This window comes from Homo sapiens, chromosome 22 (genome assembly GCF_000001405.40).
Source record: "Homo sapiens chromosome 22, GRCh38.p14 Primary Assembly".
Classification (NCBI taxonomy): domain Eukaryota; kingdom Metazoa; phylum Chordata; class Mammalia; order Primates; family Hominidae; genus Homo; species Homo sapiens.
Window position 1 is genome coordinate 42180142 of NC_000022.11, and position 24013 is coordinate 42204154.

The 24013-nt window shown below is 43.4% G+C and overlaps 1 protein-coding gene across 10 annotated transcripts in view; it reads right to left on the minus strand.

Annotated features, from left to right (window-relative positions):
* TCF20 (transcription factor 20) overlaps positions 1-24013 on the minus strand; it is a 183525-nt gene that overhangs the window by 20129 nt on the left and 139383 nt on the right. The gene's annotated exons all lie outside the window — the stretch shown is intronic.

Sequence of the window (24013 nt, forward strand, 5' to 3'; positions counted from 1 at the left end):
TAAACCTTTTAGAATTAGAAGTGGAATTTGGTTTCTAGTTCTTGTATTTGTAAGAAGATTTTATTTTTATTTTTGATCTACTTACCCCAAATGCCCAATACATTTCCCTTTTCAGAAAATATGGGCTCCTGTGTGCAAATGGTATTTTTATACATGAATCTTATTTTAAATGCACCAGAAAACCTGCCATGAATTTCTGGCTAAGTGAGACATTATTTTGTAATTGAGACACTCCTCCTTATATGGTCAGGTTTTCTTAAAGTGGGGCACATCTCTGTCAGCCCTGTGATGTGGCTGCTGTGAGTGCTCATCCTGTCAGGTAAGAAATGTGTCCTATCAGCAACAAACACATTCATAAAACTCAACCACATGTGACCCTACTAAGGATGCTGGCTCTTCAGATAGCAGAGGCACACAACCAGCAAGACTAGCTGGAAGAGACAGAAACTTGTTCCTGCTTCTATGAAAAATAAAAGTGTTCCCTAAGCAATTACACTGAGCTGGCTCAGGCCCCCGACACAGATACTGATGGAAAACTACACTAACGCCAGCAACAGCAAAGCCCAAGCGCTCGCCACGCTCAGACTGAATGATCTCATCCAGCCCTCTGCACTATTCCACCTGGCAGGCACTCCTAATGCTTCACGTGAAACTCTTGAGACACCAAAGGGAAAATAACTTGTTCCAGGTCAGAGCTGAGATTCTGGATGATCATCTCTGGCATCCTCCAGAGACAAAAGAGGTAGGAACAAGGGCTGGAAGAGATTAGTCCTTCAAAAGCTTTGCCCTGCTCTCAGAAGATCAAGGTCCTTCTGGGTGCCCATAATCAGTAAATGTTTATCATGTGCCCTCGCACCCTTGTTAAGAGAGAAAAGATCATTTGGTCTGGAGTAAACCAAGGACAAGTTCACAGCATTTCTAGTAGCCCTAGACTCTGTCGACCTTTGTCAGTGCCACAGAGCATCTCAGAATCAAAAGGACTATCAACTTCAGAGAAGGGAGTGTGGGTAGTCCATCGGTGGCCAACCTGCAGCCATGTCTGCTGCCACTTTCTTTTTTTGAGATGGAGTCTTGCTTTGTCGCCCAGGCTGGAGTGCAGTAGCGCAATCTTGGCTCACTGCAACCTCTGCCTCCCAGTTTCAAGCCATTCTCCTGCCTCAGCCTCCTGAGTAGCTGGGATTACAGGCGTATGCCACCACGCCAGGCTAATTTTTGTATTTTTAGTAGAGATGGGGTTTTGCATATTGGCCAAGCTGGTCTCAAACTCCTGACCTCATCGCATCTGGCCTCCTGCTGCCACTTTCTTACTCAAGAGGCCCGAAGATATGGCCCTCCCTACCCTGGGGGATGAATCACAGTGAGTGGTGGCCATTTAGGAATGGGTATGGTCAAGCATTTCTGGTAGGAAAGTCTGCAGGAAAAAGGGCTTCTGAAAACATTTTGCACTCCCCCCAACCTTTTTTTTTTTTTTTTTAATATATTTTGAGACGATGTCTTGCTCTGTCACCCAGGATGGAGTGCAGTGGCACAATCATGGCTCACTGCAGTCTCTACCTCCCAGGCTCAGGTGATTCTCCTGACCTCAGCCTCCCGAGTAGCTGAGACTACAGGGTGTGTGCTACCACATCCAGCTTTTTCAAAAAATGTTTTTGTAGAGACAGGGTCTCACTATGTTGCCCAGGCTGTCCTTGAACTCCTGGGCTCAAGCAATTCTCCCATCTCAGCCTCCAAAAGTGCTAAGATTACAAGCATGAAAGTTTCACCCTCTCAAAAAGAGACAAGAGGGAGGAACAGGTAATTTTTCTTGCGCAGCCTCTGTGAGGATTAGACAGTGGGATCTGTGGCAGCCACAGTATCACCATGAGGGGACAGCCCTGAAGACAAAGCCAGCCTGCTGAGGACAGAAGAGTGGCAAGATGGAGAGACCTGGGCCTACCATGACACTGTCAAGCACTAAATCACCCAAACCCAGGACCAGGCCACCTCTAGCCTTGTTACAGGAAACTTGGGTGCTGCTGTAGAAGGGTTAAGTATGCATGCTCTGGAACCTAAATAACTGCCTGGTAAGTGGCTCCACTTTCTAGCTCTGCCTTCTTGGCCAAACTCCTAACCTCTGTTCCTCAACCTACAGACGTGGGACTAATAATAGCACTCACCTCATAGAAATGTCATAAGGGTTAAATGAATTAATTCAGGCTTAAAACAGTGGCTGGGTCAAAAGTGCTAAGTAAATGTGACCCAAGATGACCATGTGTCAGACATATGCTAGATAATCTACAAAGACCATCTCATGAAAAGCAACCACACAGCAGGCCTCATCACCATCCCGGTTTACAAGAGGAAAGAGAAGACGTGGAGCTTAGATCTGAACAATGTCCATTTGCTTCCTACCTCAACTCCACAACCTGGCAAGCAGTGTGCAAACTCCACTATGATTAATTTATAACATTGCATCCAAAGGGGAAAGACTCTCAGGCTGTATTAGGGACTTAGAGAAAGATCCTTAAAGACAGTTTAGTTCAGTGGTTTTTGAAGTGTGGTCCCCTGGAACAGCAGCATCAGCAACACTCAGGGACTTGTCAGAAATGCAGTTTTGTTTTTTGGGTTATTTTTGAGACAGAGTCTCGTTCTGTCACCCAGGCTAGAGTGCAGTGGCACAGTCTTGGCTCACTGCAACCTCCGACTCCCATGTTCAAGTGATTCTCGTGCCTCAGCTTCCCAAGTAGCTAGGATTACAGGCATGAACCACCACACCTGGCAACTTTTTGTTTTTTTACTAGAGACGGGGTTTCAACATGTTGGCCAGGCTGGTCTTGAACTTCTGACCTCAAGTGATCCACCTGCCTTGGCTTCCCAAAGTGCTGGGATTACAGGCGTGAGCCACTGTGCTTGGCAGAAATGCACGCTTTTGAGCCCCACCTAAATCTGTGTTGTGAGAAGTCCTCCAGGCTATTCTGATGTACAATGCAGTTTGAGGACCACTGGTCTAATTCAACTCCCCAACTTTTCAGATGCGGAAAAAAGAAACCCAGAGAGACACAATGACTGGGTGAGCTAGGATTACTGGATTACTGGTTTCCTGAGAGCCATTCAGTGTTCTGTCTCCTACAGAGCAATCAGATCTTGGGATATGGTAGGCAGAATCCCAAGAACCTGTGATCTTATATATACAAAATCAACTTTGTGGATGAGATTAAGTCAAGGACCTTGAGATGGGAAGAATATGCTAGGTTATCCAGGTGGGCCCAATCTAATCACACAGGCCCATAAAAGCAAACGATTCCCCCCCAGAGGGAGTTACAGTTGTCAGCTTCAGGGAGACCTGATGATTTGCCAGCAGGGTCATAGGTGCAATGCTGCTGGCCTGGAAGATGGGAGAAGGGACAGGGCGGCAGCTGCAGAATTTTTAAAAGGCAAGGAAGCATGTTCTCCCCTAAGACTCTGGACTTTTCCAAAGCCCAGCCCACACCTCAATTCCAGCCCAGTAAGACACCTGTGTTGGACTTTGAACCTACAGAACTGTAAGCAGAACTGTATTAACAAGTTTGTGGTAAGGTGTTATGACAATGATAGAAAACTAATACACGGGGATTTCCCAAGACTCTCAAGTGATTGTTCATTTTCCTTTTAGGTTCTTTTTTTTTTTTTTTGATGGAGTTTCGCTCTTGTCGCTCTGGAGTGCAATGGCATGATCTCGGCTCACCGCAACCTCCACCTCCCGGGTTCAAGCGATTCCCCTGCCTCAGCCTCCCGAGTAGATGGGATTACAGGCACCTGCCACCACGCCCAGCTAATCTTTGTATTTTTAGTAGAGATGAGGTTTCACCATGTTGGCCAGGCTAGTCTTGAACTCCTGATCTCAGGTGATCTGCCCACCTCAGCCTCTCAAAGTGCTGGGATTACAGGCATCAGCCACCGCACCTGGCCTTAGGTTCTTTAATGCAACAGATTTCTCCCTCAATTTGCCTAGTGAAACCTACAATTTCACTAGGCAAATTGTGACATCAGGAGATCAATAAAGAAGGAACTCTGGGTCTGTCTTCGACATCTGTTTTTCTTGTAGAAGAAACAAGAGGCTAAAGCAAAGTGACCTGCTAAAGATCACATAGCTAGTAAGAGAACTTAGAACTTTACCTCTTTTTCTTCTGAACCCCAAGTTCAACTTTCTTCATACCATACCATGACGCCTGTTAGCCCCCTTCATTCACTCAACTATCCAACATTTGAAAAGTACTTTCTAGGTGCCAGGTGCCAAAGATAGAATATAAATACTTATCTATAGTATCTTCCATGTGTAAGGTTTTCCCTTCTACCCAAAAATCAATACCCAGGCCAGTACAATTTCTAATTAAATTTTTATTCTATACTTTTTACCTGGAGTAGCTATTTGCATTATCATCCTCCTATGCTACAAATAATATATTAAAGTCACTGCACAGCTAAATGTCCTTTGTTTTTGACCACAGTGTTACTACATTCACTCCAAGCAGAGGTAAGTCCATACAATACTGCTCCCCAGGAAGAATGAGACACATTGGGGGCTCCAAGCATGATTTCTAAATTAAGACACATTTTAAAAATAAGGAATGGCCCAAACTTCAAAATCTTTTAATAGTAAATTTTTTATTATGGAAGGGAATAAAAACTATTTTTAAAGAACTCTAATAAGAACCTCACATTTTTTGATACTCTAAACTTGGGAAATAAATTATAAAAGGTATTATTAGTTTTGGGACATGTTTTAACGGAAAGTGGCCCAGATACAGAGCTTGAACCTTTCACCAGACTTTGTCACTGTCTCAGAGGCAGGGCTCGCTGACTTGAGGTAGCAAACTGCAAGGACTGAGTCAACTAGCGTTGTTTAATCCTTATCTGAGGGAAGCTTTAAGGGAGCCTTCTCCAAGCCTGATGCCTGCTCATTCACAGAAAGGCTCTTTCTTATGAGATATAACAGCAACCTGAATCATCATCCTGTTTAATTAGCATCTCAGAGCAGCCTCAGAACACCAAAGCAACTGGGTCACAGTAGTATTATAGCACACTGATGACAACTGGTTTTGTTCAAGCCTTGCAGATTACCCTCCACTACTGTGCCTAAGACGGCTCTTATCCAGCATGGCACACACTTCTGCTCATGCTCACAATATTTACTTACTCATGTTTGTCCATCTCCCCTAAACTGTGAGACTTGTTCTTGCACCCCCCAAGGACTGGCACACCATAGGCACTGTAAATGTGGGCTGATGGAATGAATGCAATGTCTGACAAACTTGAGAGCCTGAAGACAACTAATGAGGATACTCTTCAATGAGTTACAAAACTGATGCTGGTGGAGCTTGGAGAATGTGGAACAAGGTATGTGTTCATTTTTGGCCACCAGCAAAAAGTTTTTTGTCCTTTTAATTATGCCTCCTACATCTAGGATGGAAGCCGCTGTCCTCCCAGCTATCAATGCCAACTACGTGGCAGCTAGATGGGCTACATACAAGGAGCTACCCTTCAAGGCCCTGTGAGCATTTCTTTGATGCAACTCTGCATCCTATCAAGCTTCTTAAAGACTACTTCAAAGTGTTAGCCAAAGCAATACATACATAGCCCTAGGTGTTTTGGTCCTTACTTCCTTAGAGCTAGACGATCTCCTTACGTTTCTTCATGAAAAGCTCATGAGACTGGCTGGAGAACCTTTAACTTGCCATTAACACAAAGACTGAGGGAATGGGCTCTGGCACCAGCCTCTGGGACCTGCACCACGGCCCAGTACCACCAAGGCTTCCCAGTCAACCTCAGAGGGACAGAGACTTGTCCAGTTCTTCTCAGGTCCATTTACTCAGTGCTACTCAAGTTATGGTACATGGATTTAGAATCTGCACTTATGTCCTACAGCTGCTCCGGCAAAAGTGCCAGTTTCAGAAACTGAATCCATTAAATACACACTTAATCAATTATGATGTCAGTATGAAACATCAGCCAGCCACTCACTGGCTAAGGGCTAATTGTGTGTACTTAAGACAAAAGTTCCAGGCTTGACTAGCTTTTTAGAATAAATGTGGTTGGTCTAATGTGCATACTGTCCAGGTATGATGCAGCACAGGGCTACTGGAGAAAAAAACTGAGGGTGTCAGCACACGTGTGAAAGCCAAAAGTCACCAGGTCAATTTTATCATCTGTAAAATGGGGATAACAGTATTTGCTTTGCCTTCTGCCTAAAGCTGCTGTGTAAAATAACCATAAAAGTGTTTTACAAACTAGAAAGTTATGTAATTATTAGAACTTTTAAATAAAAATTACATAAAACATACATTCATCTCTGTCATACTTTGGCAATTACTGATATCAAAATCAGATATAATACAAAGTACAGTCTATTAAATTAAGACAAACAGTTTAAAGTTAATTTTTTGTTAAGTAATTTCTCTCCTACAATCTGCCTTAAACAAGCAGACCCTGCATGGGTCTGGACACCTGCTGCTGGTCGTTTTTTTGGTAAGTCTAGCTGCTGTATGTTTCAGTAATGTTTCATCTCCGACGGTGTGGAAGGTCAGTTCTTGGCCAAGTCTCTGGACACTTCACTTCTTAGCTACTATTTACTATTACTTTCATTGTATCTCCCCTCTCAATTCTCCTATCTGGGACCAATACAAACTAAAACTATTTTTAAAGCTTTCTAAAGCATTTTGCATTACAAGAAAAGATGTTAAATAAATGGGGACTAATAATGACACACAACTGCATACAAATTAAATTCTAGCAGGATTTCGAAAGCATTGAAAACTGCCCCAAAATGGCATATTGAGCACAACTAGAATGAGAAAAACCGCCTCACAGGCTTGCCTGTTGTACTCTACAGACAGTGCCCTCTGTTATGTGGAGAGCAGACCTGGAAACCAATGACTCCTTTGCTGCCTGCATCAGAGTCACCTGCCAGGTGCTCCTAGCCATACTTCTCCAAACCTGTCCCTACTCACATTAATCTAGAATAATCTGCTGTGGCTGATTCTGGACCCTCTGCTGCCATGTGGATCTTAGGTCCAACAGATGGTACTATTCCTTACAACACACTTAGGGCCCAATAGTTCATCTTCTCTGCCTCCTGGGACCCAGTCATCTGCTTCCCTCCAATACAAGCCCATGAAAACACTCACACAAACTTTCTTTAATCTGATCATCTTTCAAGCATAATTTGAAATAAAATTATATATTTAGATCACCATTCTCCTCCCATAAAAGCCCCAATCAAAACATGGCTCTGCTACAGATCCTGACAAGTATTTGTTTCTTTGGGAAAACCTTTCAAGTCAAATTATAAACCTGTAATAAGTGTCTCTGTGGCTGAGTGGTGGTTGGGTGGTAGCTGGCCCCAGAAGTGGTACAAAACGCACAGAAAGCCTGACCCAGGTCCAAATCTCTTGAGTGTGGCCGTTTTGGCGGCATCTAACAGCTACATCCTTGGATTCTGTTTTGATCCACAAAGAAAGCCCGTTCCCTTATTTCCCTTCCGATGTCTTTGTGCCCATAAGGTGGGACCAGCCTGTCTGCAGTTTATAGTAAAGTTATGATGTTTTCCATCAGGTTAGAAAGGTTGGGATTAAAGGACTTTTCTCCTTCATTAAGAATGTCCTTCTTTGTCTTTCTGTACTTCATCTACCAAACAGAGGATGTCAGAAATTAGCCACAATCTTGAGCAGATAAAGAACATATTCAGAATACACACAGCTTTATACAATGGACTTACTCATTTTAACACTGAGCAAACAAATAATGAGAAGTTAGTAGGTCTAAGACGCAGCTGGGGAAGGAGGTCTTTTCTCCAGAAGATTCTGTCACATACCTCTTTTTATGCCATTGTTGCTTTAAAAAATCCAGATTCTCAGGCCGGGCATGGTGGCTCACGCCTGTAATTCCAGCACTTTGTGAGGCCGAGGCAGGCGGATCACCTGAGGTCACGAGTTTGAGACCAGGCTGGCCAACACAGTGAAACCCTGTCTCTACTAAAAATACAAAAATTAGCTGGGTGTGGTGGTGCATGGCTGTAATCCCAGCTACTCGGGAGGCTGAGGCAGGAGAATCGTTTGAACCTGGGAGGTGGAGGTTGCAGTGAGCGAGATCATGCCATTGTACTCCAGCCTGGGCAACAAGAGTGAAACTCCGTCTCAAAAAAAAAAAAAAAAAAAAAAAAAAATCCAGATTCTCACCCGTGAGCTGTGTTATGAGGAAGGGACCTCTGCAATAATGTGAAGGTAACCCTTGGCTAACGAAAGTAAAAACACCAGACCCATGCTTCTTCAGAATCATAAAGTGTAAGTTATTCTACTGAATGTGAAGAAGGCAGTTTGACTTCCTAACGAGCTGTTCTCTGGGACTTTTAATTTGCCTTATTAATGTGTCAATCCTGATTCCACAGCATAAAACTGCATGTCCAGAAAGTAGAAACATGGGTTGGATGAAAATTAATAAGAACTTGATCAGGCTGGTCTTTCCCCTTGACATGCAGGTTTCTCTAAAGGTTGTAAGACACTGTGTGATCAAGGTGCCTTTTATTCTCAGGGCTCTTTTCTTTGATATTTAAGTTCCCTTAGGAGTTGATGGTATCGACTTCAGAAGTATAATAATCTTTTCTTTTTATTCATTCTACAAATTTTTATTGCATGCCTGTGTGCAGGGGCTGAAATGGGGAGCCAAAAGTTCACCTAGTGTCTACCCTCCAGGAGCTCACAGAATGATCTGGGGGTAAAGCAAAATTTAAACAGTGATGTAAACAGTACTTCAGAGCGCAGACTTAATGCCACCAACCTAGTTAAGGAAGTCAGGAAAGCATTCTTGAGGGAGTGTAGCTTGACCTGAGTCATAAAGAGTGAGTAAGAGCTACCTGGGGGGAAGGGGAACAAACTGCTTTGTGGAGGGACAAGCAGGCAGGGTGTAGGGAACCAACACAGTGGAGCACAACTCTGAGAGGGTGGGAAGCTGATATGCAGGAACCCAGGGCCAACAATGGCTGTTGCTGGGTTAGGGATGATATGGAAGAGTTTGGGTACTGGTGGTGGAAATGCATACAAGAGGCAGCATAGACTTCGAAGGTAAAACCGACAGGACTTGATGCTGACACATGGCCAGGGGGTCTGTGAGATGTGTTGCAGTGAGCCTGAGTGTGTGGCAGTGTAAATCAGCACAGTGGACAGGGAGCCCTCTGGATGCCAGCACAGCAGGATTCTGATGAGGTGAGCACACACGTGGCACCTGCTCTAAATGCTACTTTCTCCTAGAAAGATTCCATTTACAGAAGAGAATGTTTTGGACTGAGAGCAAAATCTCAACTGGTCAGGAATGGGTTTAATTCCAAATGACATTTTATGGGTAACTACGAGAAACCTTTTATAGAACACAGGCTATCTTCCTGCTTTAGTAAATAGCTCAGGGTTTTGAGTAAACTGATTGTTTTCCGTTGTCTTAGAGTTATGATTCTGTATTAAGAGTATTCTTGTAAGACACGAGGAAGAGACTAGGCTTTATCAAAGTGATCCCAGGACATAGCCTAAAACTTGCTTTTTAAAATAAATCCCTGCTAGCAAGCTTTTTTTCCGTATCATTTTACTTCTCCTAAAGTAGAGGACAACAACGACAAATCTAGTCAAAGAAACTGTTCCAGTTAGTTTAACTGACAATTCCTCTGTGTACCTTCCTTATATTCAGATATTCCTTATCAGAAATCTTTTTTGATTTTTACCTCAAATTTAGGCAGTCTAAAAACAAAGACAAGAAATAAGGAAAAGAGAGAAAGCTGGGGCGGAGAGGAAGTTCTCGGAGTTTTTCACTGGAGCGGAGCTGTCCACTGAAGCTGCTGATCTGGAATAGCAGCAGGGCTAAAAGAAACTTATACTTGGCCCTGTCTCTCACTGGTACAGGAGCCTAGGCAAGTTAATTTAAGTCTTGATTTTCTCAACAATACATTGGGGATAATACCCAGTTGGGAAAAAAGGGCACGGTGGGGGTATCTTCTGCTACTTAAAGACACTGATCAGGGCAAAATAACCTGAACAGGGCCAAGTAAGGTGGCCCATGTCTGTTATCCCAGCACTTTGGGAGGTTGAGGTGGGAGGACTGCCTGAGGCCAGGAGTTCAAGATTAGCCTGGGCAACAAAGAAAGGCCCTGTCTCTACAAAAAATAAAATTAAATTTGCTGGGTGTGTTGGCACTCCCTGTAGTCCCAGCTATTCAGGAGGCTGAGGCAGGAGGACTGCTCAAGCCCATGAGGTCAAGGCTGCAGCCAACTATGATCACACCACTGCATTCCAGCCTGGATGACAGGGCAAGACCTTGACTGACACACACACACACACACACCCTGCACATACTTCCCAGGAAGTACCAGCACTGATCCCTAGTCATTTTGTTACTCTCTAGTCCCATGTGGAATGGATGGTCCCTTGAAACTACAAAGGCCGTCTGTGCTTGTCTGCAAGGCTATGGGCAGCAGCACAGACATCCAGGAGGAGTTAAAGCTAACAATCTACTATTGCTACTAAACCAAACCCAGCTATGCTGCCACACAAAGGGGTTCCTTTTGTCTATTTAGAGCGTATTTTACAGGTCAGACACAGTATTTAACCACTTATTCCCCACCCTCAGCTATCTGCTTTACTATGTACACTTTATTGATGTTTAAGTAACATGTGAAAATATGGCAGGTGATACTAATAATTTCTACCAAGGTGCCCACAAAAAAGAAAGTTCGTAATTATCACACATGGTATGAACTTCAACTGCAGATATGGTAGGCAGATATCAGCCACTTGCTGTGGGTTTTTAATGTTCTGTAACACTGTAACTCTAATTATCCTGGGTTTACAGCCTTCAGGTTCTGCATTAATAAATTTATGGAGGCAAAACAAAGGAGGAACAAAAAACAATTTCCCAAATAAAATACATCCATTTGCCTCAATTTAAGTTAAATCCAATCTATGTCCCCCTTCTGGAAAATTAAAGCATTACTCAAGAAGGCCTGGTTTAGTAATTTTTCTCTTGCACAAAATGTATACGTAGTTTGTTATAATGTTAATATGAAGTCTCATAACTCAGAAGGCCAACACAGGTGTCACTAATGATGTTTCTTTGTGCTAACCAAACTTGCCTTTTTTTCTGAAACACAGTTTGCATTTTATTATTATTTTTTAGATGGAGTCTCACTCTGTTGCCCAGGCTGGAGTACAGTGACGAGATCTTGGCTCACTGAAACCTCTACCTCCCGGGTTCAAGTGATGCTCCTGCCTTAGCCTCTAAAGTAGCTGGATTACAGGCACCCACCATCACGTCCAGCTAACTTTTGTATTTTTAGTAGAGACGGGGTTTCACCATATTGGCCAGGCTGGTCTCGAACTCCTGACCTAAGGTGATCCACCCTCCTCGGCCTCCCAAAGTGCGGGGATTACAGGCATGAGCCACTGCACCCAGCCTGCATTTTATCTTATCTACAGTTATATATACTCCATTAAAATAATCCTAATCAGAGGGTTTCTTTTATAGCCCCAAAAGAAAATTGCCACTGTGCTGAAAACCTTATATATTTTGTCTAACGGAGTTTTTCCTATGTTAAAAGGAGCTTGTGCCCTTTAAGAAATTAGAAAGGAAGGGCACAGAGTGCTAGAGTCCAGGACTAGGTATAAGCCATTGATTAGCACTTTTCCTCTGAATAAAAGCAGAGAACCTGAGAAAAGGCTGAACCCAGCAGGAGTAGGAGACCTGCGGCAGCCCTGTGATGAAGAAAGAGAAGAGCTTTTTCTCAAGTACAGGGAGAGAAATACTTACATAGTTTGAAACACTGAAATTGAAGTTGCACAAGGTCTTGCACTAGCTTATTTTTATTTTACCCTTTGCTCAAACAGTGGATTAGCTTATAAAGAGAAATGATTACATTTTGTGCTTTCTGAATCTAAAAAGGCATCTTTTTAAAGAAATTACACTCCAGGGAAGTGACTCTTGGTGTAAGCTGCTTCTCTCCATGGCTCATCCTACCCAGGAGTTGGGTCTGTGCTTCCAGAAAGCCAATTACTGGAAGCTGCTTATTCACAAGGCACCCATACTGAAATGTTTACAGTTTCAGTGCAGAAACGACAAACCTGCTGCCACAATAGGACTCCCTTAACAAGATTTCAAATCTGTGAAGATCATACTGAAGCGGAAATCTCCAAAGCTGTTCCAAACACTTGGCTCTGGAGGTCTTTCTCATTTTTACTCCTTTCTTCCTACTTGCATTCATATTACCTTCCTCTTTCGCACCCGGAGCCACTGCCATCTCACCAACGCTCTCGCCTGTCCATCTTCTCAAACAGGTTGAGGTATTGTCAGGCAAAGCCACCCTATTCCTGGAAGTGGCAAGTTTTTCAAAGGCAGGGGCAGCCTGACAGGACAGACACTGGAGGCTCAGGAAATAGCAGAGTCCCAGCAGAAAGGAACTTTCAAAAACGAGGATATCTTGATATACTGAAGCTAATGCCAATGAAACTACCACAGGATCACTGGTCCTCAAATCCTAAGCCAGCCCCTGCCACCTCTCAGCCAAGCTTCAGTGGGGTCATTTAATTTGGCAACAACATGAGACATAGTCTCACATCTCATTTCAGGTCACTCCCACAGGTCATGCTCAAACCGGGGCCTTTTCTTCCTGGAAACCTACTGGAAGGAAAAACTACGTCCACACTAGAATGGAAACTTTGGCACCCAAATCTGTGACTAGCTTATGAACCTTCAGTTTTCAGAATTGATTTTTGCATTTCTCAAAGGGTAACTCTGCCACCTGCACCAGCATGGTCCTAAGCTTGAGTTAAAAAACACAGACTGAGGACACTGTCCCAGAAGAGACTGAATGGGAAGCATCCCAGGTTCTTATCCTCAAGAAAGTTTTAGAACTATTGGTTCAATTCATCTTCATAGATATGGAAATTTTCTTCTACATTTCTGTTTCAGAAGATTCCTACCAGATTAGGAAGATACTCAGCAAGAGTACAATCCTCATTTCAACAGAAAAGGAAAAAGGAAAAAAAGAAAAGGAAACTCCAAGAGTCTCCATGAAGAAAATAGAGATCTGGAAGTAATATAACCAAGTTTAGAAATCCTGCATAATTCCTCAATACATCTCCTCCTCCTCCACCTACACTTTTTTTTTTTTTTGAGATAGGGTCTCGCTCTGTCACTCATTCATCAAGCCAAAGAGTTTGAGGTTGCAGTGAGCTTTGATTGTGCCACTGTACTCATAGTGGAACAATCAGAGCTCACTGCAACCTCAAATTCCTGGGCTAGAGGAATCCTCTTGCCTCTACTTCCTTAGTAGCTGGGACCACAGGTGCATACCACTGCACTTGGCTGATTTATTTTTTGTAGAGATGGCATCTCACTTTGTTGCCCAAGCTGGTCTCAAACTCCTGGGCTTAGGCAATCCTCCTACCTCAGCCTCCTGAAGTGATGGGATTACAGATGTGAGCCACCATGCCCAGGCCCAAGATTTAAGTGTCTATTGTTAGGACAGATTTCATTTATCCAACACCTTGACAAGGCAGTCCAGTTATTAACTCCATTTTACAGGTTAAGAAATTCAGCTTAGGGGCTAAGTGATGTTATAGTTTCCCAAGAAGCCAACTCCTACAGATGTCTGGATGAAGGATAAAATATGACCTAAAAGATTCTATAATTATGACTCTTTGCCAACAAAGACCGTCCAGTAAATTCAAGAGCCTCTGTGCTCTCCTTTGGGCCTTGTCTCTGGGCAGTGTGGTGGTCGTATAATAAAAGGTGGTTCTATCACATGACTTTTCTTTCAAGAGTGAGATTAGAAAAAAGCAACAAGTAGAGGATGGGACTGGTCAGATTATTGAAATTGTCTGAAAATACACCAATGACTAAGGGATTTCAGAGTTCCCAAGTCAAATTAAGGAGCTAAAGGCAACAACTGGGTGTTTGCTGGTGGTTTCAGAGCTCCTTGGGGGTCCGTGGGAAAAGTGAGTCTTTATGTGGCTGGATCATTTCCTGGGGTTCTCTACAGCTAATTTGGAAGATCTTAAACAGAGAATCTTCTGGAGCTGAGCAACAAGATTTTTTGTTGGCATATTCACCTTAAATGGAGCTTTTTTCCAAAGGTGGGAAGGGATGAGGTAGGTCTGAGAGAACAGAATGCTGGGTCAGCAAGTTAGTGAGATTCCATTATTGGGAGATGATTTGCTTCAATGAAGAACGGTTTCTGTGGCACTGCTAAAACCCTCGCCCTGCCAGGAGGCGAAACTAAAACATTAGTAGTTGATACAGATACTATCAACAACCCCGGCCGCCTTGCACAATGTTCCTCAGGTCTCTACCAGGGATGCTTAACGCTTATCCCTGTCCTGATGTACCCTAGTGAAGGAACAAGTTGTCACTTGGCCCACAGTGAGAGGGCTAAATACTAATGACTCTGCTTCTGCCTGGGAGAGTGTGGGGTGGGGGCGGGGGTAGCGGTAGATGGTGTTACTGAGAAAGCCAGGCAAAGTGGTTGTTCAGAGCAGAGAACTAAGAGAGTGCTCTTGGTGGACTGTGAGTTTCACAGGGCATGGTGGAGGAGACTGGCAAAGCAGCAGAGTGTGGTTCTTGACATGTGCCTATTTCCCCTGCCACTCACGCTTCAAACCCCCCAAGTCACTCTAGTAGTGGCAGGTCCAAGTGCCACATGGGGAGGGCAGGCCTCTGAGGCCTTACTGACTCAGCCCTCCCTTTGGCCGAGTTAGGTGTAGCTTCTCCACACTTACACAGACCTCACAGTATCCATAGACCATGCCTCCCAGCACTTACACAAGTGCTCACTGAACATAAGGTGGGGCTGCTTTTACCTGCTAAAAACTATCCACTGGAAATTCCTTCATTCTGAAATGGTCATTGTGCATTTCAATGTCTAGGAGGCATCTCAGACTTAACATGAACAAAATACAACTCCTGAATCCCCACCAAACCTGTTCTCTTGGGAGACCCTGGAGGAAGAACAGGTTTGGTGGTGATTCAGGAGTTGTGTTTTTCAACATTCAGGTGGCACTACATTCACCCAGTGGCAACTCACATTTTTGTCCCCAGAGACATACACTGAAACTCATGAACAACAAAGCCTCATACAGATGCCCTCTATAATGAAGGCAAAACCTGTTCCTCTGCCTTACAAAGAACCACAAGGACAAGAAATTAAGAATGCTGCTGGTCATCCATCTCTCATCATTTTTTTCCCCAAAACTATAACAGGAAAACAAAAATCAGTCTCACTACCAAAACACATTTTAACATCTCCTTAAATTTTTATACGTAGATTAAAATTCTGACCAGCATATTCACAAATTATTTCCAATATTACATACTTTTTTTTTTTTTTTTTGAGATGGAGTTTCGCTCTTGTCACCCAGGCTGGAGTGCAATGGCGCGATCTCAGCTCACTGCAACCTCCACCTCCCGGTTCAAGCGATTCTCCCGCCTCAGCCTCCCCAGCAGTTGGGATTACAGGTGCCCACCACCATGCCCAGCTAACTTCTGTATTTTTAGTAGAGATGGGGTTTCCCCACGTTGGCCAGGCTAGTCTCAAACTCCTGACCTCAGGTGGTCCGCCTGCCTCGGCCTCCCACAGTGCCAGGATTACAGGTGTGAGCCACCATGCCCAGCTCAATATTACATACTTTTAAACATACATATTTAAATGGCATCCAAAGGCCCACCTCTTCCCACTGGAGGTTACATTGCTTCTACGTGTCTCTTAAAGAACCTGTCAGTCACAAATTTACCCTGCACTGATCACCCCCCATGCCAGGCATTAGGGTGGGCTCTGGGGCCAACTCAGCCCTTGGGGAGCCTATCTGGTGAGGACGACAATCAGATAAGCTGGTAGTCACCCCAAGAGCAGCTCCAGCTTAGCTGGGCATTTGCATAAGTGCTGGGAGGCATAGGCTCTGAATACTGTTGGGTCTGTGTAACCTGCAAAGGGAAGGCTGAGTCAGTAAGGTCTCAGAGGTCTGTCCTACCCTCAGTGAGGAGGCACTCAGACCTGCCACTATTGGAGTGACTTGGGGGATTTGACCCATGGGTGCTAAGTGGTGTAACAGGTAAAATGGGAGTGCAGCTGGGCAGCACTTGCTGCCTGGGGAATGAGGTGACAGGTGAGCTGGTTTTAAATCGATGTGCTTTTCACAAATAATAGTGGATTAAAATGCCCAGGCCTGCTCTCTGAAGAGGAGGGAGACACAAAGTCTTATATCAGCAAACAAATACATTTCATTTTTGAGGGGTTGCCCTTTCAAAGCATTAGTATATTTTTATTACTTCAATAAAGAACCCTACCTAGAAACAAGCAAACAGAATAATTTGGGAACTGTCCTATCACTTATCCTAATGAATTACACTATTATCCTAGCAACCAGCTTTGTATGAAAAAACAAAAATAACTTTCAAGCAAACCAGAGGCCTTCACCTGACATGTGTCTGAACTAAGATTTAAGGTTCACAATCACAGCTTTCAAAGTCTGGAACCACATGGCACCCCTAGGGAGCCAGCCACAATGAATAGGCCTGAGACTTGTTAGATGAATATACATTTTACTAGAAACTTCCACTAGCTGCTCCGTGAGAAACACATAACAGAGATGAAATGCCTCCACCGCTGAACAATGTCAGGGCACCCAGGTCCCACTGGTGGTGCTAGTCCATCAGAAGGGACTAGCACCACTTCAGATTTGAGTTCGGCTGGAAATTTGTTATTCTGTTGACCCTGGTATTGTCTATCTGCCTGTGTAGCAGTTCTTCAATTCTATTTTCATAAGGCACGTTAACTGACAGCAGTATGCTGCCAACATCTTCAAATTAAGTGTCAGCTCTTAAGTGCATACAACCAAAATCACTCCACTATTACCAGGTTTACGTGGACAGCATCAGATAGGGCTGAATTTTCTCTTCAGTTTAATTTCCACCAATAAGTTTAGAGACAGGAGGGTTATCTTTACTAAACCAACACATGAGGACACAATTCTAAGGCTGATGCTAGGTAGCTCATAATATTTGCTTCCTTTAAAACCACATCAACTCAAAAGCTTCCAGGAATAGTTTAGCCTCCACCAAGGAGGCTACTTGATTTCCAGCAAAGTTAGTTTTATCCTTTACAGTCCTCTATCATCATCTAATTTACAGATGAGAAACTTTTTTTTTTTTTTTTTTGAGATGGAGTCTCGCTGTGTCGCCCAGGCTGGAGGGCAGTGGCGCGATCTCGGCTCACTGCAAGCTCCGCCTCCCGGGTTCATGCCATTCTCCTGCCTCAGCCTCCAGAGTAGCTGGGACTACAGGTGCCCGCCACCACGCCCGGCTAATTTTTTGTATTTTTAGTAGAGACAGGGTTTCACCGTGTTAGCCAGGATGGTCTCGATCTCCTGACCTTGTGATCCGCCCGTCTCGGCCTGCCAAAGTGCTGGGATTACAGGCGTGAGCCACCGTGCCCGGCTGGGATGAGAAACTTTTTAAGAGCTCTACTAATGCCTAATTTAGGGGCACCCCTGAAGAAAGGAGTTCCATACATCTCAATTTTCCAGAGAAGTGATTCAGGCTATGAGAAATAGGTACAGAAAAACAAATTGAGAATAATAAAATTCCAAATTAACAATTAATGGACATTAAACACAAAATTAACAGGGAACAACATTAATATCACTAATAAAATAAATGAAAAGGAACTAAAAGTTTAAAAAGAAGGTCCAATGCCACTGAGGTAGCAGTAAACAGGCTCACCTGTCCTCATGGATGCTCATGCCTTGTTATGACCCTTTGTTGATTAAACCACAAGACAATGCCTATCAAAAACCATAACAATGTTGGCCCTTCTTGACCTAGCAGTTCAACAGCCATAAATTTTTCTTTAAATCGAAAAATAAAAATGCTTATTGCTCCATAGAAAGTAGTAAATTAACTGGAAACCACCTCAATAAAAGTGCGGTACTTGAATAAATTACATTATACTCACGCTAAACTAAGAAAAAAGAAATCACAGATTAGAATGAAAATTAAAATTACAAAATAAAGTAAAAAAAGCAACACAGACTTGTATCTACACTGTGATGATGGAGACTCACAAGGTTTGAATCCTGGGCAAGCTCCTCTCTGGACCTCAAATCTCACCTGGAGTGTGATGAGACCCACCAGAAAGGGTTGGTTTGAGGTCTAAATGTGGTAATTCACGTATAGTGCTTAGAAAGCATTCAGTACATGTTAGCAGTCATTACAGTCATTCCTGGCATCCATGGAGGACTGGTTCCAGGACCTCTGCCAATACCAAACTCCACGGATGCCCAAGTCGCTTATATAAAATAGCACAGTATTTGTATATAAGCTAAGCACATCCTCCTGTATACTTTAAGCCATCTCTAGATTATGTATGATACCTAATATGATGTAGCTAATGCTATGCAAAGTTGTTATACTTTCTCATTTAGAGAATAATGACAAGAAGAAAAAAGTCTGTATATATTCAGAACAGATGGAATTTTTCCAAGTTTTTTTTTTTTTTTTGAGACAGTCTCGCTGTGTCGCCCAGGCTGGAGTGCAGTGGCGTGATCTTGGCTCACTGCAAGCTCCGCCTCCTGGGTTCACGCCATTCTCCTGCCTCAGCCTCCCGAGTAGCTGGGACTACAGGCGCCCGCCACCACGTCCAGCTAATTTTTTTTGTATTTTTAGTAGAGACAGGGTTTCACTGTGTTGGCCAGGCTGGTCTTGAACTCCTGACCTCAGGTGATCTGCCCACCTTGGCCTCCCAAGGTTCTGGGATTACAGGCGTGAGCCACTGCGCCCTGCCCCCTCCAAATATTTCCAATCTGCTGTTGATTGAATCTAAGAATGCAGAACCCATGAATATGGGAAGCTAACTGTATTATACTATTATATCTAGTGAAATAATCAGCACATGGACAAAATCTAGAAGAGTCAGATATGTTGGGTTATCAGGATTGCGGCATTCTTCTACGAACAGTTCCATTAGTTTTACAATAAGAATAATACTGTTATCTTTATGTAAATAATATGTAAATCTTTTTCATGACTCAGGAGTTCAAATGGGAACCCTGACCAGCACAGATGGTGCCAGCACCTCATCTAAACCCTGTGGCCAATTTTTCTTTTCTTCTGCCTTTTCCCATGTTTCTTGCTCCTTCCTATGGGCAGAGCGACGATTCCCACTTCAGAGCCCATTTCACCATAGAGTCATGTGGTAGCACTTTGCCTAGCCTCAATTCAGTGCATAAAGGCACGAGGCTGCATTCTGAAACTGAGGAAATAGGGTACAACTGTGCACAACAGAGAGGTTTTCTTCAGGCCCATAAAAATGTTTGACATGTGCTCTTTCTCAGTGTAATTAAATACAGTCTTGGTTTTTCACCACATTGTCAGTATCTTGGGAAAATTATTTTAAAAGTCTAAACAGGCCAGGTGTGGTGGCTCAGGCCTGTAATCCCGACACTTTGGGAGGCCAAGGCAAGTGGATCACCTGAGGTCAGCAGTTCGAGACCAGACTGGCTAACATGGCAAAACCCCATCTCTACAAAAAAAAAAAAAAAAAAAAAAAAAAAAAAATTAGCCAGATGTGGTGACAGGAGAATCGCTTGAACCTGGGAGGCAGAGGTTGCAGTGAGCTGGGATCGCACCACTGCACTCCAGACTGGGCAAGAGTGACTCTGTCCAAAAAAAAAAAAAAGCCCAAACAGCAAGTTATCCTTTCTGTTTCCCCTTCCAATTACATTTTAGGAATAATTATGATGATAGCTTAAATTTTTTTGGTATCTTTTTGGGATTCTCTGGGTTTTTTTTTATAAACATGACACAGACCTCATGATTTCCTATTTTTCTCTCCACTTTCTTTCAATTTGGATTTAAAAATTTATCAGTTTACATCTATTTGAAAGGCTAAATAAAAAGCAAGCAGTTATTTAAAATGCTGTATTAGAATCTAGTGTTGACTTATCTAAACATGTATATTAGGCTGAACTGCCTTCATATCTAATATTTTCTTGTCTAATACATATTAAACGCAAACCTAAATTTCTTTTCTTCAACCCTTCTTTCTGTTATTGGTATGTTGATGACCCCTCACCTCGCCCACTGACTTGCTGGAGCTAGAAACCTCAACTTCATCCTTGACCTCTGCCTCCTCACTTTCCCAAACCTGCTGCATCTAGTCAGTGTTTAAAATCTATCAACTTTAGCCGGGTGTGGTGACTCACGCCTATAATCCCAGCACTTTGGGAGGCAGGTGGATCGCCTGAGGTCAGGAGTTCGAGGCCAGCCTGGCCAACATGGTCAAACCCCATCTCTACTAAAAAATACAAAAATTAGTCGGCATGGTGGCACATGCTTGTAATCCCAGCTACTTGGGAGGCTGAGGCCTGGGAGGATGTTTGAAACTGGGGGGTGGAGGTTGCAGTGAGCCGAGAACGTGCCACTGCACTCCAGCATGGGTGACAGAGCAGGACTTCGTCTCAAAAAAAAAAAAAAAAAAAAGTCTATCAACTTTGAATCCCTAAAACGTTTCTCAGATCCATCCAATCCTTCTGACTCCCGTTTCTACCACATACTCGGTCCTTACCAGCTCTTGCACAAATTAATCCCACAGCCTCTCGAATGACCTGTCTGCTTCTGATGTCTCCCTACTTATTTCCTGAGTTTCCTTTATAAAACACAAACCTGTACATGTGACTTACACGCTTAGAAATCACTAATGGTTTTGCACTGCCCGTAAATTAAAGGCTAAATCCTTCAAATACAATAGATCCCTGATATGGTTTGGATCTGTGACTTCACCAAATCTCAGGTTGAACTGTAGCACCCAATGCTGGAGGCAGGGCCTGGTGGGAGGTGGCTGGATCATGTGGGTGCTATTCCTGTGATACTGAGTTCTCACAAGACCTGGTTGTTTGAAAGTGTGCAACACCTCGCACCTCACTCTGTCTTGCTCCTGCCATGCAAGAAGCCTTCCTGCTCCCCCTCTACCTCCCTCCATGACTGTAAGTTTCCTGAGGCCTCCCCAGAAGCTGAGCAGATGCAGGCATCATGCTTCCTATACAGCTTCCAGAACTGTGAGCCAATTCAACCTCTTTTCTTCATACATCACCCAGCCTCAGGTATTTCTTTACGGACTAATACAAGCCCTCTGGAGTTCACATATTCTCAGTATATTCACTGTTTTAGGGGAGGAGGTGGAATGCTATAGGGAAGTATTTGTCCTGAATCATTCTGTGGATACACCACACAAACTCAGAATTCTTAATTATTTTGGGCCTTTTAGTGCTGACATGTTAAAAAGTTTACTTAAAAAAACAACTTTAGACCAGGCGCGGTGGCTCATGCCTGTAATCCCAACACTTCGGGAGGCTGAGGCAGACGGATCAGTTGAGGTCAGGAGTTCGAGATCAGCCTCGCCAACATGGTGAAACCCCGTCTCTACTAAAAATACAAAAATTAGCCAGGCATGGTGGCAGGTGCCTGCAACTTCAGCTACTCAGGAGGCTGAGGCAGGAGAATTGCTTGAACCTGGGAGGCGAAGGTTTCAGTGAGCCGAAATTGTGCCATTGCGGTCCAGCCTGGGGGATAGAGGAAGACTCAGTCTCAAAAAAAAAACAAAACCAAACCAAAAAAACCCAACTTTACTACCAGGCAGATTCTTTTCTTTCGCTTTAGATAATCGCTATCAAAACTTTGTCATCTCACTAGAATGTTAATGCTTTTACTTAACATGCAAGGTAGATTTTAGTCCCTCCCTTTTGCCTTCTGTCTTTTGAGAGATATAATTCCTGAGTGTGTTCGTGTTGGCTGATGCTATTTCATAAGACATAATATTAATACTGCACCTGAAATACCTCACACCCTGCCACCCTTCCCCCCGCAGCAAACTTGAGTTTCCAACAAGAGTAAAAAGGAGATAATGTTTTTATTTCCACCAAGGACAACTTTCAAAGAGATTAAGTTCTGAACACCCCTGGCAAGATGAGCTAGCTGCACTATGATGGAACTACAACATAAGCTATAGAGTACTGAGTGAGCTTGCTAACAGGAACACATCTTTACTAAGACAACAATGAGGGAGGACACCATCTGAGGGCGGTCACCAGTCTGCAGCTTGCATTTCCTCTGAAACCACCTAACTGTTGAAATGTGCCAAACACTGCTCTAAGCACTTTCCAAAGAGCAACACATTTAATCCTCCTAACATACCTCTTTACTGTAGGTGCTGTCAGTTTTCATACTTTGTATGGTAAGGACAGTGAAGCACAGAGGTTAAGTGACTTGAGCTAGTGACCTCGCAAGGAAACAACAAGTCCTGGAATTCATATGAAGCAGTGTGACTCTGGGGCTCTCACCCAGGCCTCCCCTCTACACAGCTGTTGAGGAGAACGGCAAAAGCCAGGACCTTCCGGGGCAAGTGTTTAGCTGCCTTGATTTTCTCTTCTCATACGTTTTTCCAATAAATTGGACGAATCTGATCTGCAGTAGCAAGCCTTGAGGGTCCCGCGAAATTGGCCTTGGCTTGGGGTGCGGAGGAGGAACCTCCATTTTCCTGAAACAGTATTGGATGAAGCAAGCCGTATCTTTTGGAAAAATCGAAGCCCTAGTGCAGGACCTGTGTGCGGCAAGGCATTGCTTTCTGCAGAATCACACAAACTTTCCTGCATGAAGTTCAGAAGCCTTGACATAGAGCTTCTCTAACCACACACCAGCTAAGGGGCCGAGGCTGAGGCTGAGTCACCCTGCAAGTTCCCTGACAGGAGTTTAACTTCACATTTCAACTGGTTTTCCAGTAGAGACTCAAGATATTTGTTGAATTGAAAGGGATGCCTGCTTTTACATACTATTTGCTGTTAGCTCTTTTAACAGATTAGCAATAACTAGTTTAACATCCCAGGGATGAGTAATTAACATATAATAACTTGTGTGTTGTGGCTTGTTTATCAATATTTTTGTTTATGGTCCTTTGGGATTTTTTTGAATATTTTTCTCTACTTATTTATTTTGAGACTAGGTCATTAAGACTGGCTAATTTTCGTATTTTTGGTAGAGACAGGGTTTCTCCATGTTGCCCAGGCTGGTCTCAAACTCCTGGGCTCAGGTAATCCAAAGTGCTAGGATTACAAGCATAAGCCACCTTGCCCAGCCTTGGCCAAAGAATCGTGTACTCCTTATAAATTTTACTTTAAAATCAAGTGTAATGCTCCCCACATCATCCCCCTACCTCTAGAGAGAAAAAAAAAGTCAAGAAATAAATCGTAGTAAAATTTGAGTCCTTCAATTTGTCATGATTTATTCTGTAAGGTAATATATGCAATAAAATTCAAAACTGAAAATTTCACTTGATTCCTTAGAATTTGGACGAAATCCTGAAAGAAAATGAACCTTTTCTCTGGAAATTTAGTGTCAATGTCATCATGCAGTGATATAAAAAGATATACCACACAGTGTTAAGAAAAACAGGTAAATTAGATACAAGTCTCTGCTATATACTGAAAGCCATGGGAACAGGGCGCCACCGCCTAGAGAGTGAGAAATGAAGATGGGTCCCAGCAGAAGTAACAAAAAGCAAGTGCTTGCCAGAGAGAGGGGGCTGGGAGGGAGAGGAGAATGGAGAAAGGGAGTGTGGGAATGTGAGAAAGGGCAGTTGTAGCAAGCACAGAGGAAGAACAATCAGGTAGGGGTGGGGGTGAGGTACTGGAGTTAGGAGCAGAGAACAGGAGTTGAAGGGAGCCTTCACCAGGATGGGGGCCTTGCCAGGCCCTGGAAATGACCACCTTCAAGGAACATATAGTTGAGAATTTAGAGAGCATGTAGACTGGTGGCTCTATTTTACAGTTAAACTAGAGAGCCTACCTTTCTGACTTGGCTGTTTTGATGTTTTAATATGTGATTTCATTTTCATAATGTAATCAATCTATTTTATATTTTCCAAATCATGTTTTCCATCACAATTTAAAGTAAATTTAAGAAAGATGTGAGTCTGTTAGAT